General features: G+C 49.8%; 1 protein-coding gene across 3 annotated transcripts in view, besides 2 other annotated features; it reads left to right on the forward strand.

The window, feature by feature from the left end:
- MYH14 (myosin heavy chain 14) overlaps positions 1-22,016 on the forward strand; it is a 106,919-nt gene that overhangs the window by 83,875 nt on the left and 1,028 nt on the right. For all 3 annotated transcript variants that reach the window (NM_001145809.2, NM_001077186.2, NM_024729.4), the window contains 8 exons: positions 1,940-2,152; positions 3,391-3,552; positions 4,765-4,893; positions 5,737-5,825; positions 6,068-6,191; positions 14,165-14,373; positions 19,553-19,661; positions 21,509-21,681. In NM_001145809.2, coding sequence (NP_001139281.1) covers positions 1,940-2,152; positions 3,391-3,552; positions 4,765-4,893; positions 5,737-5,825; positions 6,068-6,191; positions 14,165-14,373; positions 19,553-19,661; positions 21,509-21,681 — 1,208 coding nt within the window. The remainder of the gene's footprint in view (positions 1-1,939; positions 2,153-3,390; positions 3,553-4,764; positions 4,894-5,736; positions 5,826-6,067; positions 6,192-14,164; positions 14,374-19,552; positions 19,662-21,508; positions 21,682-22,016) is intronic.
- Positions 4,308-4,836: an enhancer, noted in NCBI's record as "H3K4me1 hESC enhancer chr19:50795061-50795589 (GRCh37/hg19 assembly coordinates)". NCBI's record gives its function as "activates a minimal SCP1, AML or CMV promoter by ChIP-STARR-seq in primed H9 embryonic stem cells {active_cell/tissue: H9 hESC(primed)}" and the evidence as "EXISTENCE:reporter gene assay evidence [ECO:0000049][PMID:30033119]".
- Positions 4,837-5,364: an enhancer, noted in NCBI's record as "H3K4me1 hESC enhancer chr19:50795590-50796117 (GRCh37/hg19 assembly coordinates)". NCBI's record gives its function as "activates a minimal SCP1, AML or CMV promoter by ChIP-STARR-seq in primed H9 embryonic stem cells {active_cell/tissue: H9 hESC(primed)}" and the evidence as "EXISTENCE:reporter gene assay evidence [ECO:0000049][PMID:30033119]".

Genomic DNA, 22,016 nt, shown 5'->3' on the forward strand with positions numbered 1-22,016 from the left:
CAGTCTCCTAGGCTCAAGCAGTCCTCCTGCCTCAGTCTCCCGAGTAGCAGAGACTACAGGTGCATTCCACCATACCTGGCTGTTTTTTAAATTTTTTGTGGAGATGGGGTCTTGCTGTGTTGCCCAGGCTGGTCCTGAACTCCTAGGCTCAAACAATCCTCCCACTTCAGCCTCCCTAAGCATTGGGATTACAGGCATGAGCCACTGCACCTTGCTGAGAATTTTCCATTAAATACACATATTCATGTGCATATGTACACATACAGCATGAGAAAACTACTCACCACACATATGTATGGATGCTCAGAGAGAGAACACGAAGAGAATTTACTACAACACACAGCCTGAGAACCACTCCCCCGACATGACTAGGTGCATGCATACATACATAACACACATACACACACACACACACACAGTGTGAGGACTCCCACTTTGCCTGCCACCAATTCCACTGAGCACACACAGACTCTCCCACCAAGCCTCTGTCTTCCCTTAACTCGTGTATCCCTCCAGGGCCTGTAGGGTGGTGCCCCAAGGCTTCTCGCAGGCTCCCCTCACCCAGCCAGTGTCCCAGCCTTCCGAATGGTCAAAATGACCCGCCACATCCTCCACTCCATCCTTCCTTCATTCATCCTCTGAATACATTTATGGATCACACCCAGGGACACAGGCCACCCTCACTAATGATGGGAGGCACTGGCAGAATTTGTTGAGCTCCTGAATAGATGCTGTCTTGACATCCTTATTTCTTTATTTTCCCAACAACGTGCTTCTAGGAGTCCAATGGGTGAGGGCTTTATCTTCTCCACGCACTTAGACGTTGATCCGATTTTGCTTTTAGCCAGGCCTGGAGAGAACCCCTCTCTCCCTGACACAGACCTGGCCTGCAGCCCTAGGGATAATTGAGCTAAAACCCAGCTCATACTTGAGCCGTTAAGGTCCGTCCCTTGGGAAAAATGTCAGGTTATTTGTAGTGACTCCAAAGGCCCTTGTGGGAAACAGGATGTTGATGGGAGAAAGTTTGATCCCTTCAAGTAAACAAAATAAATTGGCAAGTACCAAATAGGAAGGGAGGCTAGAGGGCCCATTCCACGGACCGAAAGTAGATACTGTCAGTGACCAGAATTGTAATGAACATCATGTGGGCAGTGGCGATCCACAGACATAGGCCTTGCTCTGTGGAACTCACAGTTCAGTGCGGGAGGCGGGTGTTGCACAAAAAGCCACCTAAGCAAATGTCAAATGACCACTGTGACTAGGGCTAGGTAGGAGAGGGGCCCCAGTGCCAGGAGCATGGGTAGCAGAGAGGCCCTGATGGGTTAAGAGAGGCTTCCTTGAGGAGGTGACAGTTAAGTAAGGAGAGGGGTGAAGGGGGAGTCTCTGAAAATTCATAAGCCCAGCTCTATTTTCACAGCATTTGGGGGTTTAATTCATACCTCCCTGAAAGATCAGGGACCCTCCCAAACAGAAAACCCAATAGAAGTAGATAGTGGGTCGGTGACACCCTGGGGAGTCTGGCAAACACCAGCACTGATGACCCTGGAGCTACGTGCCTTCAACCCATTCGCACAGAATTCCCAAAGATGAATTCCCAGTGAGTGAGCTCACAGTGCAAAATTACAAAACTCAGAGGGAATAATCCACCATGAGTGAGAGTCAGCTGACCTAACAGACGCTTGTATTGGACTCTGAAGGGCTTCAGATAATAGAATTATGAAGCATCAGTTATTCATGAAATACATTTTGGGGTGATGCTGAATGAGACACCTAGGAAGGAGCCGTTCAGCAGATTTTGAATGGATGAATGAACAAACTAGGATGGGCACACTGACTTGCCATCTCCCCATCCTCCATCAAATCTTCCCCTACTCTAGCTAGGCTCCTAACCTCCTCTGCCTCAGTGACCCAGGTACCCAGCAGCTACTCTCCCCACCAGGTGCATGAGCTGGAACGAGCCTGCCGGGTAGCAGAACAGGCAGCCAATGATCTGCGAGCACAGGTGACAGAACTGGAGGATGAGCTGACAGCGGCCGAGGATGCCAAGCTGCGTCTGGAGGTGACTGTGCAGGCTCTCAAGACTCAGCATGAGCGTGACCTGCAGGGCCGTGATGAGGCTGGTGAAGAGAGGCGGAGGCAGCTGGCCAAGCAGGTATTGTCACACAGAAGGCCACAGGGTGCCAGTCCAGCTGGGGTATGCCATGGTGTGTACAGGCAGCAAGAAGGGCAGCAAGGGGTCTCCCCGACCCACCCACCACTCTGTCTCCTCCACCCGCCGACCACTCAGTATCTCCCCAACCCTTCCACTGCTCAGTGTCTCCCCACCCACCTGCCACTCGGTGTCTCCCCACCTGCCTGCCACTCAGTATTTCTGCCAGTCTCTCGTGCCAGCCAAACCATCTTCCTCCCACAAAACCATCTTCCTATTCCCCAACCCATTAACCTGCCATGACCCATTAACCCACACACATATCCTGTTGACCTGTTGCTGTACCCAATCATACATCCTCCATCCACCACACAAACCATTCACCCATCCATCTGCCACCCCATCTATTCAACTACCCTAACCACCCACATACAGCCTCTCCCCCAACCAGCGTTGTGTCCAACTACTGCTCCATCCACCCAGTGACTCCCTTCCAACCCATCTCCTCTCCCCAACCCAACCCCTCCCCTATTTACCCAACCCCAGCCCCTCAGCACCCCCTGCTGACTCCACTTAGTCACTGACTCACTGACCTGCTCATCCGCCCTCCCCTCCATCCACATCCTTCCCCAATCCAGTCAGTCATCGCTCCCTCGCTTCCTTGTTTGTTCCATTGCTCTCTCCCTCCCTGCATCGTTCATTCATTACTCGTTCAGTCCAGGAACTTCCCATGTCTCCCCTCTACTAGGTGGTGAGGGGCAGGGGCAGCTCTGGGTGTCAGAAAGACCCCGCTGGAGCCATGTAGGCAACAGACTTGGGGTGGAGGGTGCTAGAAGCTGGGGAGGCAGGGAAGAGAGGTGAACAGGTGACCTAAGGCCAGGGGTCTCTGCAGGGTTTTGTCTCTGCTAGCCCCTTTGACTTAGACATGGCTGAGTGTCCAAGACTTGGCCCTGGGGGCACTGGGGAACCATGGGAGGGCTATGAGCAGGATCAGCTCTGGAGACGTGTTGGAATGGGCTGGAGGGGAGAGATGAGAGGCTAGAAAGGAGGCTTAGGTGAGATGGGGGACTGAGCTGGGGCAGTAGGGATAGAGAGGAGACCAAGTAAAGAGAGTCAGGGAGTGAGAGGAGCGGGGCTTGCAGCCTGGGCAGGAGCTCCAGGGCAGACATCCATGTCCCTAGCACACAGAGGGAGGCTGGGCTTCCTGTGTCTGACCCGGTCCCTCCTGACCTCCTCTCCAGCTGAGAGATGCAGAGGTGGAGCGGGATGAGGAGCGGAAGCAGCGCACTCTGGCCGTGGCTGCCCGCAAGAAGCTGGAGGGAGAGCTGGAGGAGCTGAAGGCTCAGATGGCCTCTGCCGGCCAGGGCAAGGAGGAGGCGGTGAAGCAGCTTCGCAAGATGCAGGTAAGAGCCGGCGTGAGCTGCAGGGAGGGGAGGCTTTGGTGTCTTCAAGCCCCAACCATCACTCCAGGGTCTAAGGCTAGCTCGGACCCCTCGCTCTCAACCCACAGGCAGCATCCGCATGGGTCAGCACCTTTATAAACATCCATGCCCCAGAGGCTGGCTTCCTTCTTCTTCTATTTTACATTTCTTTCATTTAAAATGCTGCACTTTTAAGTCAAATTTCCTCATTTTTTTGTTTGTTTCTTTGTTTGTTCAGTTGGTTTTTTTTTTTTTGAGACAGTCTCATTCTGTCACCCAGGCTGGAGTGCAGCGACGTGATCTCAGCTCACAGCAACTCTGCCTCCCAGGTTCAAGCAGTTCTCCTGCCTCAGCCTCCTGAGTAGCTGGGATTACAGGCGTGCGCCATAATTTTTGTATTTTTAGTAGAGACAAGGTTTTGCCATGTTGGCCAGGCTGGTCTCGATCTCTTGGCCTCAAGTGATCCACCCGCCCCCATGGTTTTGTTTTTGAAGTGAAAATACCATATGGTTTTTTGGCCAGACACAGTGGCTCACACCTGTAATCCCACCACTTTGGGAGGCCAAGATGGGCAGATCACCTGAGGTCAGGAGTTCAATACCAGCCTGGCCAATATGGTGAAACCCTGTTTCTACTAAAAATACAAGAATTAGCCAGGCATGGTGGCACGCACCTGTGGTCTCAGCTACTCAGGAGGCTGAGGCAGGAGAATTGCTTGAATCCGGGAGGCAGTGGTTGCAGTGAGTTGAGATCCCACCAGTGCACTCCAGCCTGGGTGACAGAGCGAGACTGTCTCAAAAAAGTAAAGATAGAAATAAAATAAATAAATCAACAGTAGGCAAACTGAGGCTCAGAGAGGGGCAGTGGCTGGCTCACAGTCACCCAGCAAGGATATGGCCAAGTTGTAATTCAAACCCATGTCTATCTAACTTGAAGCCAGGCTCCATCAGGCTTCCAGCTGCCTTCTAGTTCTCAGCCAGGTCAACCTCCTCCCTTGAGGACCAGAGTGGGAGAGGCTGGCTCAGGGTCACACAGCAAGTGGCTTTATACACAGGAGCCCAGGTCTGCAGGGTTCGGAGAGTTCCCTGCTTGTTCACGGGAGCTGAGGAGCCCCGTCGGTCTGGCAAGGGGGTGGAGGAGTTCCCTGTGCTGTGTGGCCAGGCTGAGCCCATCTACCTATTCCGTTCCACCCAGGCCCAGATGAAGGAGCTATGGCGGGAGGTGGAGGAGACACGCACCTCCCGGGAGGAGATCTTCTCCCAGAATCGGGAAAGTGAAAAGCGCCTCAAGGGCCTGGAGGCTGAGGTGCTGCGGCTGCAGGAGGTGAGGCTGGGGTAGGCTGGGCCCTGGGACAGGAAGCTGGGAGGTGGGCAAGGCTAACCTTGAGGTCCCTGGATGTGAAGCTGGGGAGGTGGGCGGGGCTAACCACAGGGTCCCTGGATGTGAAGCTGGGGAGGTGGGCGGGGCTAACCACAGGGTCCCTGGATGTGAAGCTGGGGAGGTGGGCGGGGCTAACCACAGGGTCCCAGGGTGTAAGGCTCGGGAGGTGGGTGTGTCTTACCATGTGGCCTGCAATGCCAGCCTAAGAGCAGGGATTTTGTCTTAGGGCACTAGGGAGCCATGGAAAGATCCAGAACAGAGGATGGGCAGGGTCAGCTCTGTAGCAGTTGAACTGGAGTGGGGAGATTGGAGTCACAAAGGCTGTGGGAGTGGGAGTGGGAGAGGGGAGAGAGAGAGAGATTGAGAAAGAGAGAGAGAACCCTGAGCCAGGGCCAAGGGGATGCAGAGGACGGAGAAGGCAGTCAGAAGGCAGGAGGGAGAAGGCTATGGTGAGGGGGGCCGGAGGAGGGGAGGAGAGCACTGGGGGTCTGGCCCGGTGATTGGGGGACCCTGGAGGAGAGGCAGGTTTGAGAGGAGGACCTGTGTGCAGTAAAAGGTGGAGAGGGTGAGGGGCCTGGGGGTTGGGCTGCAAGAGGTGAGCACAGGTCAGGGGCTCAGGAGACAGATTTAGGAGACATCTGTAGGTTGCAGCTCATTCCAGGGTTACCCAGGGACAGCATGAGAAAAAAGCCAAGAGCCTTGAGGTGTGAGGGACAGAGAAAGGGGTGAGACCCGTGCCCAGATTGCTTCTCCTCACACCCACCGGCCACCCCTCCATCATCACAGGAACTGGCCGCCTCGGACCGTGCTCGGCGGCAGGCCCAGCAGGACCGGGATGAGATGGCAGATGAGGTGGCCAATGGTAACCTTAGCAAGTAAGTGCCCCAAGGGTCTGAAGGCTGAGGTACTGCGTCTGCAGGAGGTGAAGCTGGGGTAGGCTGGAGGTGGCTGGGCTCTGGGACAGGAAACTGGGAGGTGGGCGGGGTTAACCTCGGGGCCCCTGGGGTGTGAGGCTGGGGAGATGCGTGGGGCTAACCACAGGGTCCTGTAGTGTGAGGCAAGGCACCCTCCTCTGACCATCCTGTCCTTTCATCCCCACGCCTTCCTGTCTCCCTAGGGCAGCCATTCTGGAGGAGAAGCGTCAGCTGGAGGGGCGCCTGGGGCAGTTGGAGGAAGAGCTGGAGGAGGAGCAGAGCAACTCGGAGCTGCTCAATGACCGCTACCGCAAGCTGCTCCTGCAGGTGAGCGTGATTGACCGCCCCCACCAGCCTCAGTCCCCATTGACCTGGGACCGTAACCTTCAGTCCTCTTATTCAACAAATATAGAAAGGGGATATTTGAGTTGGGTTTTGAAGGTTGAATAGGAGTTCTTAAAAGGGTTGAAAGGCATGATTCACTTGTATTTCTGAGGGGTTTCTTCAGGGCTAAATCCAAAGATGAATTATGTGGGGAAACAGACATGGGCCAGCAAGTGTGATCATGGAAGTCTCCTGGGCCCAGTAGAGAGAGAGAAAAGACTTTCTGCAGGAGTCATAAGAAAACATTTGGAAAAAGAGACATTTGGCTGGGGGTTTTAAAGCATAAGTTGGAGTTCAGCAGAGGGAGAAAAGCATGTTTTCCTTTGCATATTTATTTATAAATATTTTCTGAGGATTCCGGTGGCCCAGATCCTATTCCGGGTTATGCTGGGGACCTGGAGATGGTTAATACTAAGCCTCTGCCCTCAAACACGTCTTAGTCTAAAGGAGGAAATAGACCATCCCAATACAGAGATACAAGTGAAAATGGAGGAAACACGGGCACTGTGGGAACCTAGAAGGGACTACCAACCTAGCCTGGAGGATAGAGGCCATCAGAGAAGGCTTCCTGGTGGAGGTGATGCCTTGAGAGATCTTAAAGGAAGTGTAAGAGTTTGCCAAGAAGACAACAGAGTGATGGGATTTCCAAGGACAAACCAATGTCTGCATTCTTCATTAGTTTTTTTCTAATTTTTTTTTTTTTTTTTTGAGGTGGAGTCTCCCTCTGTTGCCCAAGCTGGAGTGCAGTGGTGCTATCTCGGCTCACTGCAACCTCTGCCTCCCAGGTTCAAGCGATTCTCCTGATTCTCCAATTTTCTCTACAAAATATTTAAAAATTAGCCAGGTGCAGTGGTGCATGCCTGTAGTCCAACTACCTGGGAGGCTGAGGAGGGAGGATCGCTTCAGCCTGGGAGATTGAGGCTGCAGTGAGCTATGATTGTGTCACTGCACTCCAGCCTGGGTGACTGGATGACAGAGTGAGACCCTGTCTCAAAAAAAAAAGGTAATAATTATATGCTCAACAGTTATGTGTAGTAAGACTACTTTTTAAATGGAGAGAATGGGGAAAATATGCAAAATGTTTTAACCTACTTTAATTGATGGTGATAGTATTAGCACTGTTTTTCTGAGACATTGAGTTTATAATGTGGGATAAAGTAAATGATCAAAGATGGGATACTATGTCATCTACTACGTCCTTGACATCAGGGTACTCAGCACCAAAGAACCTTGATATAGTTGTCCTAGAGAAGAGATTAAGTTTTTTTTTTTTTTTTTTTTTAAAAACAGGCCAGGTGTGGCCGGGCGCGGTGGCTCACGCCTGTAATCCCAGAACTTTGGGAGGCCGAGGCGGGCAGATCACGAGGTCAGGAGATCAAGACCATCCTGGCTAACACAGTGAAACCCCGTCTCTACTAAAAATACAAAAAATTAGCCGGGCATGGTGGCATGTACCTGTAGTCCCAGCTACTCGGGAGGCTGAGGCAGGAGAATGGCATGAACCCGGGAGGCAGAGCTTGCAGTAAGCCGAGATCGCACCACTGCACTCCAGCCTGGGCGACAGAGCAAGACTCCATCTCAAAACAAAAAACAAAAAAACAAAACAAAAAAAACAGGCCAGGTATGGTGGCTCATGCCTGTAATCTCAGCACTTTGGGAGGCCAAGGTGGAAGGATCGCTTGAGCCCAGGTGTTTGAGACCAGCCTGGGCAACACAGTGAGACCCCATCTCTACAAAAAATATATGTGAAATAAAAAGAGAAAAGAAATTACGTTTAGTGGGGCGCAGTGGGTCACGCCTGGAATCCCAGCACTTTTGGTGGATTGCTTTTAGCGTAGGAGCTCCAGACCAGCTTGGATGACATGGCAAAACTCCATCCCTACACAAAATTGAAAAATTAGCTGGGTGTGGTGGTGCACACCTATAGTCCCAGCTACCCAGGAGGCTGAGTTGGGAGGATCACCTGAGCCCAGGGAGGTCGAAGCTGCAGTGAGCCATGATTGCACCACTGCACTCCAGCCTGGGCAACATAGTGAGACCCTGTCTCAAAAAGAAAAGTGATAAATTATGTTTAAAAAATAGTTTAAGCCAGGCGCAGTGGCTCATGCCTATAATCCTAGCACTTTGGGAGGCTGAGGCGGGTAGATCATGAGGTCAGGAGTTCAAGACCAGCCTGGCCAACATGGTGAAACCCCGTCTCTACTAAAAATACAAAAACTAGCCAGGCGTGATGGCGGGCACCTGTAGTCCAGCTACTCGGGAGGCTGGGGCAGAGAATTGCTTGAACCCAGGAGGCGGAGGTTGCAGTGATCTGAGATCGTGCCACTACACTCCAGCCTGGGTGACAGAGCGAGACTTTGTCTCAAAAAAAAAAAAAAAGTTTAAAAACAAAACTAAGCAAACCCCTGTAGTTCTCAATTTGACTTCATCATATTCACGTGAACTGGTGATGTATTTTATACAGATCCAGTCTCTCTGACCACCCAAAAGGCCTAGAAACAGGGAACCCAGTAGCAATGAGTATCCCTATATCCACGTTGTGATCTGGAAATGCTGTTTCCCTCTAAAAGAAACTGGGGCTGGCTGGGCGCAGTGGCTCACACCTGTAATCCTAGCTCCTTGGAAGGCTAAGGCAGGAGGATTGCTTGAGCCCAGGAGTTTGAGACCAGCCTGAGCAACCCAGTAAGACCCCGTCTCTACAAAAAAAAAAATTAGCCAGGTGCGATGGCGGGCACGCCTGCGGCCCCAGCTACTCTGAGGGCTGAGGTAGGAGGATTGCCTGGATCCGGGAAGCAGAGGTTGTAGTGAGCCAGAATTGTGCCACTCCACTCCAGCCTGGGCAACAGAGTGAGACCCTGTCTCAAAAAAAAGAAAAAGAAAAGAAGAGAAATGAAACTGGAGCTTCTTCCGAAGTGGCTGATTCCAGATCTGGAGCAGGCAATGAACAAGAGTAACCCAGAACATTTTGCGATACCCATTAGCAGGAAAGATAGTATAGTTATGTCAAGAGCACGTAGAAGTCAACGTGAAGAGCCTCGCGCTGGCCCAAAGTGGGGCAAGTTGAGCTTCAATGAGGAAAATAATTGCAACTGATTTAATCCCTTGAAATCTGTTTAAATTCAACAGCAACGTTTTAAAAAAATATTAATTAGTTGCTGTGTTAGTTCCCTAGGGCCACCATAATGAATTACCACAAACACAGTAGCTTAAAGCAACAGGAATGTATTCTCTCTGTTTTTTTTTGTTTGTTTGTTTGTTTGAGATGGAGTCTCGCTCTGTCACCCAGACTGGAGTGCCGTGGTGTGATCTTGGCTCACTGCAACCTCTGCCTCCCGGATTCAAGTGATTCTCCTGCCTCAGCCTCCCAAGTAGCTGGGACTACAAGCATGCACCACCATGCCTGGCTAATATTTGTATTTTTAATAGGGAGGGGGTTTCACCATGTTGGCCAGGCTGCTCTCAAACTCCTGACCTCGTGATCCGCCCGCCTCGGCCTCCCAAAGTGCTGGGATTACAGACGTGAGCCACCGCGCCCGGCCAGGAATGTATTCTCTCGTGGTCCTGGAGGCCAGAGGTCTGAAATCAAGGTGTGGGCAGGGTTGGTTCCTCTTGTTCATGCCTCTCCCCTGGCTTCCCGTGGGTGCTGGCAGTCCCTGCTGTTTCTTCATCTGTAGATGTGTCATTGCAATCTCTGCCTTTAACTTTACAAGGCATTTTCCCATCTTTGTGGCTCTGTCTCATCTCCTCTTTTTTTTTTTTTTTTTTTTTTTGAGACAGAGTCTCGCTCTTGTCGCCTAGGCTGGAGTGCAATGGGCTGATCTTAGCTCACTGCAACCTTCACCTCCCGGGTTCAAGCGATTCTCCTGCCTCAACCTCCCGAGTAGCTGGATTACAGGCGCCCACCACCACATCTGGCTAATTTTTTTTGTATTTTTAGTAGTGATGGCATTTCACCATGTTGGCCAGGCTGGTCTCGAACTCCTGATGTCAGGTGATCCGCTGCCTCAGCCTCCCAAATTGCTGGGATTACAGGTGTGAGCCACCATTGCCTGGCCCTCATCTCCTCTTAAAAGGACACCAGCCGTATCAGATTTGAGGCCCACCCTAATCCAGTGTGACCTCGCGTTAATCAATTACAACTGCAAAGATCCTATTTCCAACTAAGGTCACATTCCGAGGTTCTGAGTGGACATGAATTTTGCGTGGGAGTCTATTCACCCCATGGGTGCATGGGGAGGGCATGGGGGAGGGGCATGGAGCTTCCGTGCCCTCCTGGGAGCGCCACCCTCCAGGTACTGCACATGTTCAGCTTCCAGAAGCTGCCCAAACCCTGTCCTCTTGGGCCTTTTATGGAGACGTCACTGGATAGGTGTGATTAACAACCACGTAGAAATGTGATTGGACAAAAAGGGTCCGATCTAAACCCAGCGAGGCCTGTCTGTTCAGATTCTTCCTGGCTTCTCTATGCAGCATTCCTTCCCCCTCTGAAATGAGGGTCCTGTGATCCACAGTCAGGTTAGAGTTTCTGCCTTGTGCAGGTGAAAGAGGGGGCAGGAGGAGGTTAGAGAGAGAGGTTCTGTTTACTCTAAAAGGGCTATGCAAATTATGATCAAGGAACCATGGACAAAACCCAACACACACACAAACACACACACATACACACACACACACATGCACACATGAAGTATATACGCAAAGCAATATCACAGGTACAAATTCCCTTGAAAATTCACAAATAAGGCCAAGCGCGGTGGCTCACACCTGTAATCCCAGCACTCTGGGAGGCCGAGGCTGGCAGGAGTTCAAGATCAGCCTGACCAATATGGTGAACCCCTGTCTCTACTAAAAATACAAAAATTAGCCAGGCGTGGTGGCGGGTGCCTGTAGTCCCAGCTACTCAGCAGGGTGAGGCAGAAGAATAGCTTGAACCCAGGAGGCAGAGGTTACAGTGAGCCGAGATCGAGCCACTGCACTCCAGCCTAGGCAACAGAGCGAGACTCCATCTAAAAAAAAAAAAAAGAAAAGAAAAAAGAAAATTCACAAATAAGACAGAAAGATCGGGTGCAGTGGCTCATGCCTGTAATCCCAGCACTTTGGGAAGCTGAAGCAGGTAGATTGCTTGAGACCAAGAGTTCAAGACCAGCCAGGACAACAAAGTGAGACCCTGTCCCTACCAAAAACAACAACAACAACAAAACTATCAGGGCATGATGGTGTGCACCTGTAGTTCCAGCTAGTCAGGAGGCTGAGGCCGGAGAATCGCTTGAGCCCAGGAGTTTGATGCTGCAGTGAGCTATGATTGTGCCACTGCACTCCAGTTTGGACAAGAGTGAGACCCTGTCTCCAGAAAACAAAAAACAAAAAAGAAAGAAAGAAAGAAAGAATAAAGTCCCTGGACACAGCTGCCAATTTCCAGGAAACACAGAGGAGAGACAAATAAATGCTGAATTAGACCGTAAGTGTGTGATCAGAAAAATCCAGACAGAGAGGAACTCTACAAGGCTAACAACCTACATTCTTCAACAGATAAATTGTAAGAAATAGGCTGGGGGCAGTGGCTCACATCTGTGATTCCAGCACTTTGGGAGGCCGAGGCGGGCAGATCACCTGAGGTCAGGAGTTTGAGACCAGCCTGCCCAACATGGAGAAATCCCATCTCTACAAAAAAATACAAAAATGAGCCGGACGTGGTGGTGTGTGCCTGTAGTCCCACATACTTGGGAGGCTGAGGCCGGAGAATCACTTGATCCTGGGAGGCAGAGGTTGCAGTGAGCTGAGATTGCACCACTGCACTCCAGCCTTGGTGACAGAGCAAGACTCCATCTCAAAAAAAAAAAAAAAAAAAAAAAAATTTTAAAGGAATAAAAGGGATGGAGGAGGGAACTGCAGGTTAAAAGAGACTTAAAAGACATATATCTGGCCGGGCGTGATGGCTCACGCCTATAATCCTAGCAGTTTGGGAGACCGAGGTGGGTGGATCACTTGAGGTCAGGAGTTTGAGACCAGCCTGGCCAACATGGTAAAACCCCATCTCTACTAAAAATACAAAAATTAGCCAGGTGTGGTGGTGCGTGCCTGTAATCCCAGCTACTCAGGAGGCTGAGGCAAGAAAATCGCTTGACCCCGGGAGGCAGAGATTGCAGTGAGCCGAGATCGTGCCACTACACTCCAGCCTGGGTGACAGAGTGAGACTGTGTCTCAAAACAAACAAAAACAAACAAACAACAACAACAACAAACCCACATACATCTACTTTTTTAAATGGGTAGGATTCAACTATAGGATCTAGGGATGCATCTGTGTGTAATAAAACTAAAGACATACAAGGAAATGAGGACCTGAGAAGTCAGGATAACATGATATTTTGGGGAGAAGGAAGAGGTTTTCATTAGGAGTAGTGCATGAAAGGGCTTCTGGAAGGGCAAAGTTCTCTTTCTTGACCAAGGTGCTACTGACAGTGATGTCTGCCTTTTGTTAACTCATGATGCCTGTGCGGGATGACACCCACACACATCCATGTTCAGAGACAGGAAGCAGCAGGGTCATGGGGCTGAAACGGTTCTCATCTCCAGCTGCTGGAATAATCAGGAACACTCCCATAATGTTCTTGGTTGAGAATTACTGTGCTAATAAAACTAGCAGAATATTTATTACTGATTTTTTTTATTTGATTAATGTTTGGCTCTCTGTATCACCATTTTATTTCACAATAAAAAGTTTGAGGCCGGGCGTGGTGGCTCACACCTGTAATCCCAGCACTTTGGGAGGCTGAGGTGGGTGGATCACTTGAGGTCAGGAGTTCGAGACCAGCCTGACCAACATGGAGAAACCCCATCTCTACAAAAAATACAAAAATTAGCCAGTTGTGGTGGCAGGCACCTGTAATTCCAGCTACTCAAGAGGCTGAGGCAGGAGAATCGCTTGAACCTGGGAGGCAGAGGTTGCAGTGAGCTGAGATCGTGCCACTGCACTCCAGCCTGGGCGACAGAGCAAGACATGGTTTCTAAATAAATAATAAAATAAAATAAAATTAGCAGGGGTGATGGTGTACGCCTGTGATCTCATCTACTCAGGAGGCTGAAGTGGGAGGATCACTTAAGCTTGGGAGTTTGAGGCTGCAGTGAGCTGGGATTTCACCAGCTGGGCAACGGCTGTGCTCCAGCCTGGGCAACAGAACAAAACTGTCTCAAAAAAAGTTTTTTAAGTTAAAAAAAAAAAACCCCACAAAGGAGAATATGCTAATTACCCAGTCATTGTGTCCCTGCGAGGGTAAAATAAAGTATGAATCAGACTGGGTCTGACTCACTTCCATGTACCCAGCAGAAGGCCTCGCTCAGAGTACGAGCTGAATAAATAAACGGGAACTATTATTAGGGGTGTGTTTACACATTTTCCACGTAGCAGCTACTGTTTATTGAGGCCGTGTTTCTCAAAATGCTCCTGCATATAACACCTGAGATGCCCGTTATAAGTGCAGATTCCCAGACTCCACTTTGGTATTGCTGAGTCAGAATCTCTGAAGGGTGAGACCCAGATGTCTGCATTTTTTTCCCAAGCTCCCCCAGATGATCCTGGTGCAAACAAAAGTGTGATAACCCTTAGAATGGACTCATTCACAGTCAGAAGTAGAATTTATGACATTTAAACAAGTTTGTGATGGTCTCGTGGACTTATTAAAGTAAGCAGAAAACTATCCAAAATGTTAAGACCCAGGGCTGGCAGTGCTGTGGGTGACAAGTCAATAAACTATTAATAAAAATACAAGCTAACATCTGTTGAGTATTTAGTATGTTTCAGGCTCTGTGCTATGCGTGTGACAATCATCAGTGCACTTAATTCTCAGAGGTGCCTGGATTTACCTACCACCTTCCCTCTGAGACTCCACCATGACATCCTTCCTTCCCCTCCTGCTACAGGTAGAGTCACTGACCACAGAGCTGTCAGCTGAGCGCAGTTTCTCAGCCAAGGCAGAGAGCGGGCGGCAGCAGCTGGAACGGCAGATCCAGGAGCTACGGGGACGCCTGGGTGAGGAGGATGCTGGGGCCCGTGCCCGCCACAAGATGACCATTGCTGCCCTTGAGTCTAAGTTGGCCCAGGCTGAGGAGCAGCTAGAGCAAGAGACCAGGTAGGTGAGAGCGGAGGCCACAGGAGAAAGGTGACCTCCACATTCTGGTTGGTGAGAGGAAGGAGGCTGTGTTACAAACACGTGGTTTAGAAACATCCAAAAGACATCATCATAGTAATGACTGCTGGCCTGGCATGGTGGCTCACGCCTGTAATCCCAGCACTTTGGGAGGCAGAAGCGGGAGGATCCCTTGAGGCCAGGAGTTTTCAGACCAGTCTGGGCAACATAGCAAGACCTCATCTCTAAAAAAAAAAAAAAAAAAAAAAAAGCCAGGTGTGTTAGCGTGTGCCTGTAGTCCCAGCTGCTCAAGAGCCTGAGATAAGAAGATAGCTTAAGCCCAGGAGTTTGAGGCTGCAGTGAGCTGTGATCACAACACTGCACTCCAGCCTGAGTAACAGTGGAAGACCTTGTCTCTAAAAAAAAAAAAAACAGCCAGGCACAGTGGCTCACACCTGTAATCCCAGCACTTTGGGAGGCCAAGGCGGGCAGATCATTTGAAGGCAGGAGTTTGAGACCAGCCTAGCCAACATGGTGAAACCCCATCTCTACCAAAAAACACCAAAATTAGCTGGGTGTGGTGGCTCATGCCTGTAGTCCCAGTTACTGGGGAGGCTGAGGCAGGAGTATTGCTTGAACTCAGGAGATAGAGGTTGCAGTGAGCCGAGATTGCGCCACTGCCCTCCAGCCTGGGTGACAGAGCCAGACTCCATTTAAAAAAAAAAAAGAAAGAAAAAAAGAAAAGAAAAAGATGCCAGGCACGGTGGCTCACGCCTGTAATCCCAGCACTTTGGGAGGCTGAGGCGGGCAGATCACCTGAGGTCGGGAGTTCGAGACCAGCCTGACCAACATGGAGAAACTGCGTCTCTACTAAAAATACAAAAAATTAGCCGGGCGTGGTGGCACGTGCCTGTAATCCCAGCTACTCGGGAGGCTGAGGCAGGAGAATCGCTTGAACCCAGGAGGCGGAGGTTGTGGTGAGCCAAGATCACGCCATTGCACTCCAGCTTAGCAACAAGAGTGAAACTCCGCCTCAAAAAGAAAAAAAAAGAAAAAGAAAAAGAAAAAACAAACAAAGTGTGTAAATATATGTAAATATTTAAATGATTGCTGATTTTCTGTATCATTTAGGATGCTTTGGGCTGCAAGTAACTGCAGTCTCACTACGAGTATTATTTACGTAATAACGTGCCAGTTAGTTATAGCTGAATTACAAACTACTCTGAAACTTAGTGGCTTAAAACAACAACCATTTATTATTGCTTATGAGTCTTTGGCTAGTAAGTTCTGCTCATTTGGGCTTGGTGGGCTTCACTCATCATCCGCTCAGTTGAGGGTCAGCTAGATGGATTTGCTAATCTTGGCTGGGCTTTCATTTTTTTTTTCTTTTTTCTTTTCAAGAACAGCATGAGTGGTATTGGCTGGGCTTGCATAACTCTTAAGGCTTTGCCTAGGACAACTAAGCTAACTTGTCTCTGCTCTATGTGGCCTCTCATCCTCCAGGAGGCTAGCCCAGGATTGTTCATATGACAGAGTCAAGGTTCTAAGAGCAAGGGAAAGTGCTAAAGACTCCTTGAGGCCTGCACTTGGAACTGGTACTGTGTCACTTCTGCCATATCCTATTAACCAAAGCAAGTCACTCAGCCCGCTCAGATTCAAAGGAATGGGGAAATAGATATGACTGTTTGATAGGAGCAACTGCAAAGTCATATTGCCAAGGGTATGGATACAGAAAGGGGTGAGAACTGGGACCATCTGTTGTATCAGTCTAGCACAAAGAGGAATGTCTTTTTTTCAAGTGATAAGAAGTCTAGAGCTAGGCAGCCAAAAGATGGTAGGGCTCTGGATCAACATCTGTGTTGTTTTTTAGTCTTTTCCTCATGGTCATAAAATGGCTGCAATTGCACCAAGAACCATACCCACAGACATCCATGTTCAGAGACAGGAAGCAGCAGTAGTATGGGGCTGAAAGAGTTTCCATCTCCAGTTGCTGGAATGACCAAGAATGCCCCCATAACATTCCTAGTTGAGAACTGCTGTGCTAATAAAATGAACAGAATATTTATTACTAAGCCTAATACCTTTCACTCTTCCAATACAATAGATTTTCCTATTGCTCAGTACTATTCAGCAACAATAATTACAACAATACTAATAGTTCCTATTTATTGAGGATTTACTATATATCAGGTGTTGGACTACTTGTATATACCTGTATGATACCACATAATCCCTGTGAGAGAAAGACCATTGTTATCCTATTTTGCATGTAGAAAAACTGAGGCTGAGATGGGCTATAAATGTAGGATACTTGACTTGCTATTCATCATCTGCACATTATCTCATGGGGAGGAATGTTATTATATTATACATCAAATTTATATAAGGTTCCCTTTTGTATTCATTCATTCAACAAACAAATATTAAGAGTGTACTGTTGGGGCCAGGCATGGTGGCTCACGCCTGTAATCCCAGCACTTTGGGAGGCCAAGGCGGGCAGATCACTTGAGATCAGGAATTCAAGACCAACCTAGCCAACCTGATGAAACCCCGTCTCTACCAAAAATACAAAAATTAGCCGGGAGTAGTAATGGACACCTGTAATCCCAGCTACTCAGGAGGCTGAGGTAGGAGAATCACTTGAACCTGGGAAGTGGAGGTTGCAGTGAGCCGAGATCACACCACTGCACTCTAGCCTGGGCAACAGAGCAAGACTCCGACTCCAAAAAAAGAGGAGTGTACTGTTTACCTTCCCATGTGCTGGTCACTGAAAAAATTAGACGTACCATGGAAGTATGTCTAATTACCTCCATGGTATGTCTAATACCATGTCTGGTGGGATTCCCCAAGGTGAAAGACTCATGAGCTGGACATGGCAATGAAGGCCTATGAACTAGAAGGGTTGAAGGGACACAGATGAAGAAGAAGCTGGAATACCCTGAGATGTAGTGGTTTGGGAAGGGTATCTAGAGGAGGAGGCACTTGAGCTGGAGCTGACAAGAATGGGATTTCCAGGGCTTAGAGTCCCAAGTCAGTTGGCAGCTTTGTGGGAAAGTCTGGGAGACATCAGGGCATTTGGAGGAGGAGTGTGGTTGGTTCTGAGAGTCTGGGACCCAGGAGAGGGATCAGGGAGACAGGGAGGTAAATGAGGCTTGAAGCACACAGAGCCTTGAATACTGGGCCACGGAACTCTGTTCTGTGGGCAGTGGGGAGCCCTGGGGGCAATGGGGAGCCATGGGAAGGCTGTGGGCTGGGGAGGGACACGGCCAGCTCTAGGTATAGAAAGATCTCTCTGGGGCTAAGGTGGGAATGGATCAGAGGAGGGAGACTGGAAGCTGGGAGGTTTGGAAGGAGTCTGGAATGATGGTCCAAGCAGAACAAGATGAGGCCTGAGCTGGGGCTGGGGCTGTGAAGATGAACAAGAGAGGATGAAGAAGAGAAAGCAGGGGGCAGAAGGAATGAAGCGGAGGCTATGGGTGGTGGCAGGGGAAGAAGACACTGTTTGGAGCTAAGGCCTGGTGACTGAGGGAATATTGGCTTTTTGGAGGAAGATGCTAAATTCGTTGTGGAACTTGATGAGAGTGAAAGGCCTCAGGGACAGGCAGAAGGAAACGGCCCCAGAGGTGCATGAGACAAGTGGTTCTCAGTCCACAGGGTCACCCAGGGGCCCCAGGGCTTATGGGAACTGTAGCTTGAGGTCTATGGGGACCCCTGCTCCATTATACAAATGAGGAAACTGAGGTTCCGAGGGAGTAGATGAGTTGCTTAAAGTCACCCTGCACCAGGTGCAGTGGCTCATGCCTGTAATCCCCACACTTTGGGAGGCTGAGGCAGGAGGATCACTTGAACCCAGGAGTTCAAGACCAGCCTGGGCAACATGGCGAGACCCCATCTCTACAAAAATAAAAATTAAAAATTAGCCCAGCATGATGGCACACACCTGTAGTCCTAGCTACTCGGGACACTGAGGTGGGAGGATCGCTTGAGCCCAGGACATTGAGGCTGCAGTGAGCCATGATCACACCATTGCACTCCTGTCTGGGCAACAGAGCAAGGCCCTTTCTCAGAAGAATAATAAAGTCACCCTGGGAGCAAAGAATGACCAGATGATTCTTAGCTGAAGAAGTCTCAGCCGGGCGCAGTGGCTCACGCCTGTAATCCCAGCACTTTGGGAGGCCGAGGCGGGCGGATCATCTGAGGTTGGGAGTTCGAGACCAGCCTGACCAACATGGAGAAACCCTGTCTCTACTAAAAATACAAAATTAGCCAGGTGTGGTGGCACATGCCTGTAATCCCAGCTGCTCGGGAGGCTGAGGCAGGAACAATTGCTTGAACCCAGGATGCAGAGGTTGCGGTGAGCTGGAGATCGTGCCTTTGCACTCCAGCCTGGGCAACAAGAGTGAAACTCTGTCTCAAAAAAAAAGAAGTCTCTCTCCTTCATCCTTTTCCACTGCTTAGTGCCTTCCCACTCGCCCCCAGCCCTGTGCCTTCCTCTCAGCACATCTGGGGCTGTTGTATCCAGGGTGGCTGTCAAGCAATCCCGATTGCTAGAGGTCCCATCACATGGACTTCACCCCAGATGTGATGGTCCATGCAGGAGAGGACAGGTGTAAGGGCAGAAAGAGTGTTCCCTCCCGCTCTGAAGATTCAAGTCTGCTGAAATAAACTGACAATAAATAGATTAACAAAATAAAAGGCTACAAATATATTAATGTGCATGAACACAGGAGCCATGCAAAATATAAGACTTTTTATACAGGGTCAGATGGTTGAGGCTTAAGTATCCTCTTTATAGGGGAGAGAGACAAAAAGGATGTATTCAATTGTGAGAGATAGTAAATGATTTTCAGGGGAAAATGAATGGGCCCAAAGAGTAAACTGTAGTTTGTAAATGATCCTCTTTGGAAACTGAATAGGACCAAACATATACTTATTATAACTCACAACATCATAGGAAACAGGTATGTGAGGTGTCCTAGTAGAAGCCAAGGACATGGATGCCGAGGAGAAGGCAGCCTGCATGTCAGTGTTTGGCCTCAGTAAACTGTGGGAACCACTTAGGGGTTAGGAAAGAGGGAAGAAGCCAATCCAAGAACAAGGTGACAGCCACTGCATGAGTCTATGGGGACAAAATCCTAGGTTGAGCCCCTCTACTGAGACTCCTCCTCATCCCTCTCTTCAGAGAGCGCATCCTCTCTGGAAAGCTGGTGCGCAGAGCTGAGAAGCGGCTTAAAGAGGTGGTGCTCCAGGTGGAGGAGGAGCGGAGGGTGGCTGACCAGCTCCGGGACCAGGTAAGCAGCTGGCATCATTAGGGAGCAGTGGAGAGTGTGACCACTGGCTGAGAAATTGCACAGGCTGTCTCCAGAGGCAATGAGCTCCCATCACAAGAAGCAATGTGCAGGTGCTGGACTGGAACTGAATGCAGATACCATCTTGGCACTTGGCACATCAGCAGAGGGTTGGAATCAGTGAGTTTGCAATTCATAAATGCTGGCATCTAGAAAGGGCCCTGTAGGGAGCTGAGGAAGCCAGGGCAAGGGAAGAAGTTAAACCCTACCCAGAAGCTAGACCAGGACTAGCTTCTATGTACCAGGCACTGTGCTAAAGACATAACATTTACTGTGTTTAATTCTTATCAGAATGGTAGAAGGAAGGTGCTATTATTTACCCTCTTATTTATGTGAGGAAACTGAGGTACAGAAAGGTGAAGTAACTTGCTCAAAATTATTTAGCTGGTAAGAGGTGGGGTCAGTATTCAAACCTCAGCACTCTAGCCCCAGAGTGTGTGTTCTTGATTACTTACTGAGCAGTTACTGTGTCATAAGCAACTGCTTTTTAAAAAATACATATTTGCATTTCCTCACTAGTCCCATTTCACAGATGAAGAAACTGAAACTTTAAGAGGATATATTTTGCATCAGAGTCACAGAGATAGAGCCTGGATCAGATCCCAGGTCTGTCTGGACAGAGTCCCTCTGCCCTTAAAAGCTCAGCTGTGCTTTATTCGCCATTCATTCCACAAACAATTATTGAGCACCTGCTATGTGCCAGACACTGTGGTAGGCATTAGGGATATGGATGTGAACGAAACAGAGGAAGTCCCTGCCCTCATGGAGCTCACATTTTCTGCATAGGATGAGACGTAATAAACCTGTAAACAAGCAGATAATTACAGATTGTGACAAGGGCTATGAAGAAAAAAAGTGAAGAGAGAGGAAGACACAGAGGATTGGGGAATCCTCTTCAGGTTGGGAGATCAGGAAGAACTCTTTGAGAAGGTGACATTTAAATTGATACCTGAAGGGTGAAAAAGAGCCAGTCAGAGGGAACAGCAAGTATAAAGGCCTTGAAGAATAGAAATACGTTTGGTGAGTTCAGAACAAAAAGCAGATTAGTATGGTCTAGATAAACATCTGTTGTTATTTTAGTCCTGGTCTAGCTTCTTGGTAGAGTTTAACTTCTTCCCTCACTTTGGCTGCCTCAGCTCCCTACAAGGGCCCTTCCTAGATGCCAGAATTTATAAATTGCGAAGTCATTGATTCCAACCCTCTGCTGATGTGCCAAGTGCCAGGATGGTATCTGCACTCACTTCCAGTCCAGCACCTGCACGTTGCTTCTTGTGATGGGAGCTCATTGACTCCAGAAAATGTGGGATAGGAAGGCTGAACGATAAGAAATGAGGTCAGATCATGTATGTTCCCTCCCTGAAGAGAGAGGTGGTAGGGTCTGGGGAGGATCTCAGTGAAGTTGGTCTGGACAGTGGGTTTATGGGAAGAGAGAACTGGACAAGAAAAAGACCCTGTGGGGCCTGGAATGCCAGGCTGAGGGGCTGGAACCTTGTCCCGGGGGTACTGGGGAGCCATGAAAGGATTGTGAGCAGGAGGGTCTGGGTCAGCTCTGGGTATAGGAAGACCTTTCTGAGGCCATGTAGGAGACAACCTGGAGGGGAGAGACTGGAGGTCAGGGTAGAGGCTGGCATGAGGGATTTAGGAGAAAAGAACAAGGCCTAAACAGAGAGCAGAGGATGGGGCAGAGAGAGTCAGGGGGCAGTAGGGATGGGGCAGTAGTGGGCTGTTGGAGAGGGAGGGAGTGATGACAGTACCTGGAGATATAACCCAGTCCCCCTGCTTCCATCAAGCTGGAGAAGGGAAACCTTCGAGTCAAGCAGCTGAAGCGGCAGCTGGAGGAGGCCGAGGAGGAGGCATCCCGGGCTCAGGCCGGCCGCCGGAGGCTGCAGCGTGAGCTGGAAGATGTCACAGAGTCGGCCGAGTCCATGAACCGTGAAGTGACCACACTGAGGAACCGGCTTCGGTATGGTCATCCCACGTACAGGCCTGACGGGTGGGGAGCACCCTAACTCCATAAACCCCAGGGACGCGAGGCCGTGCCAGGGGCAACAACAGGGGGAAATGGGATCCACGGGGGTGTGGGGCTGTGGGAGCAGCGGCTGTGTTGCGGGAGAGCCAAATCCAGGTAACTTCTTTCTTCCCACACCCATTTCTCCCTGTCATCTCTGTGCCCTCCTTTCCCACCGTGCACCACCACCTTTCTCTCCTTTCCTCCTCTCTGTGTGTCCTTCATCTCTCTCTGCCCCCCATTGCTTCTGCCCGTCTCCCTCCATTTCTCTTGATCTCATCCCTCTCTTC

Source organism: Homo sapiens, chromosome 19 (assembly GCF_000001405.40).
Source record: "Homo sapiens chromosome 19, GRCh38.p14 Primary Assembly".
Classification (NCBI taxonomy): Eukaryota; Metazoa; Chordata; class Mammalia; order Primates; family Hominidae; genus Homo; species Homo sapiens.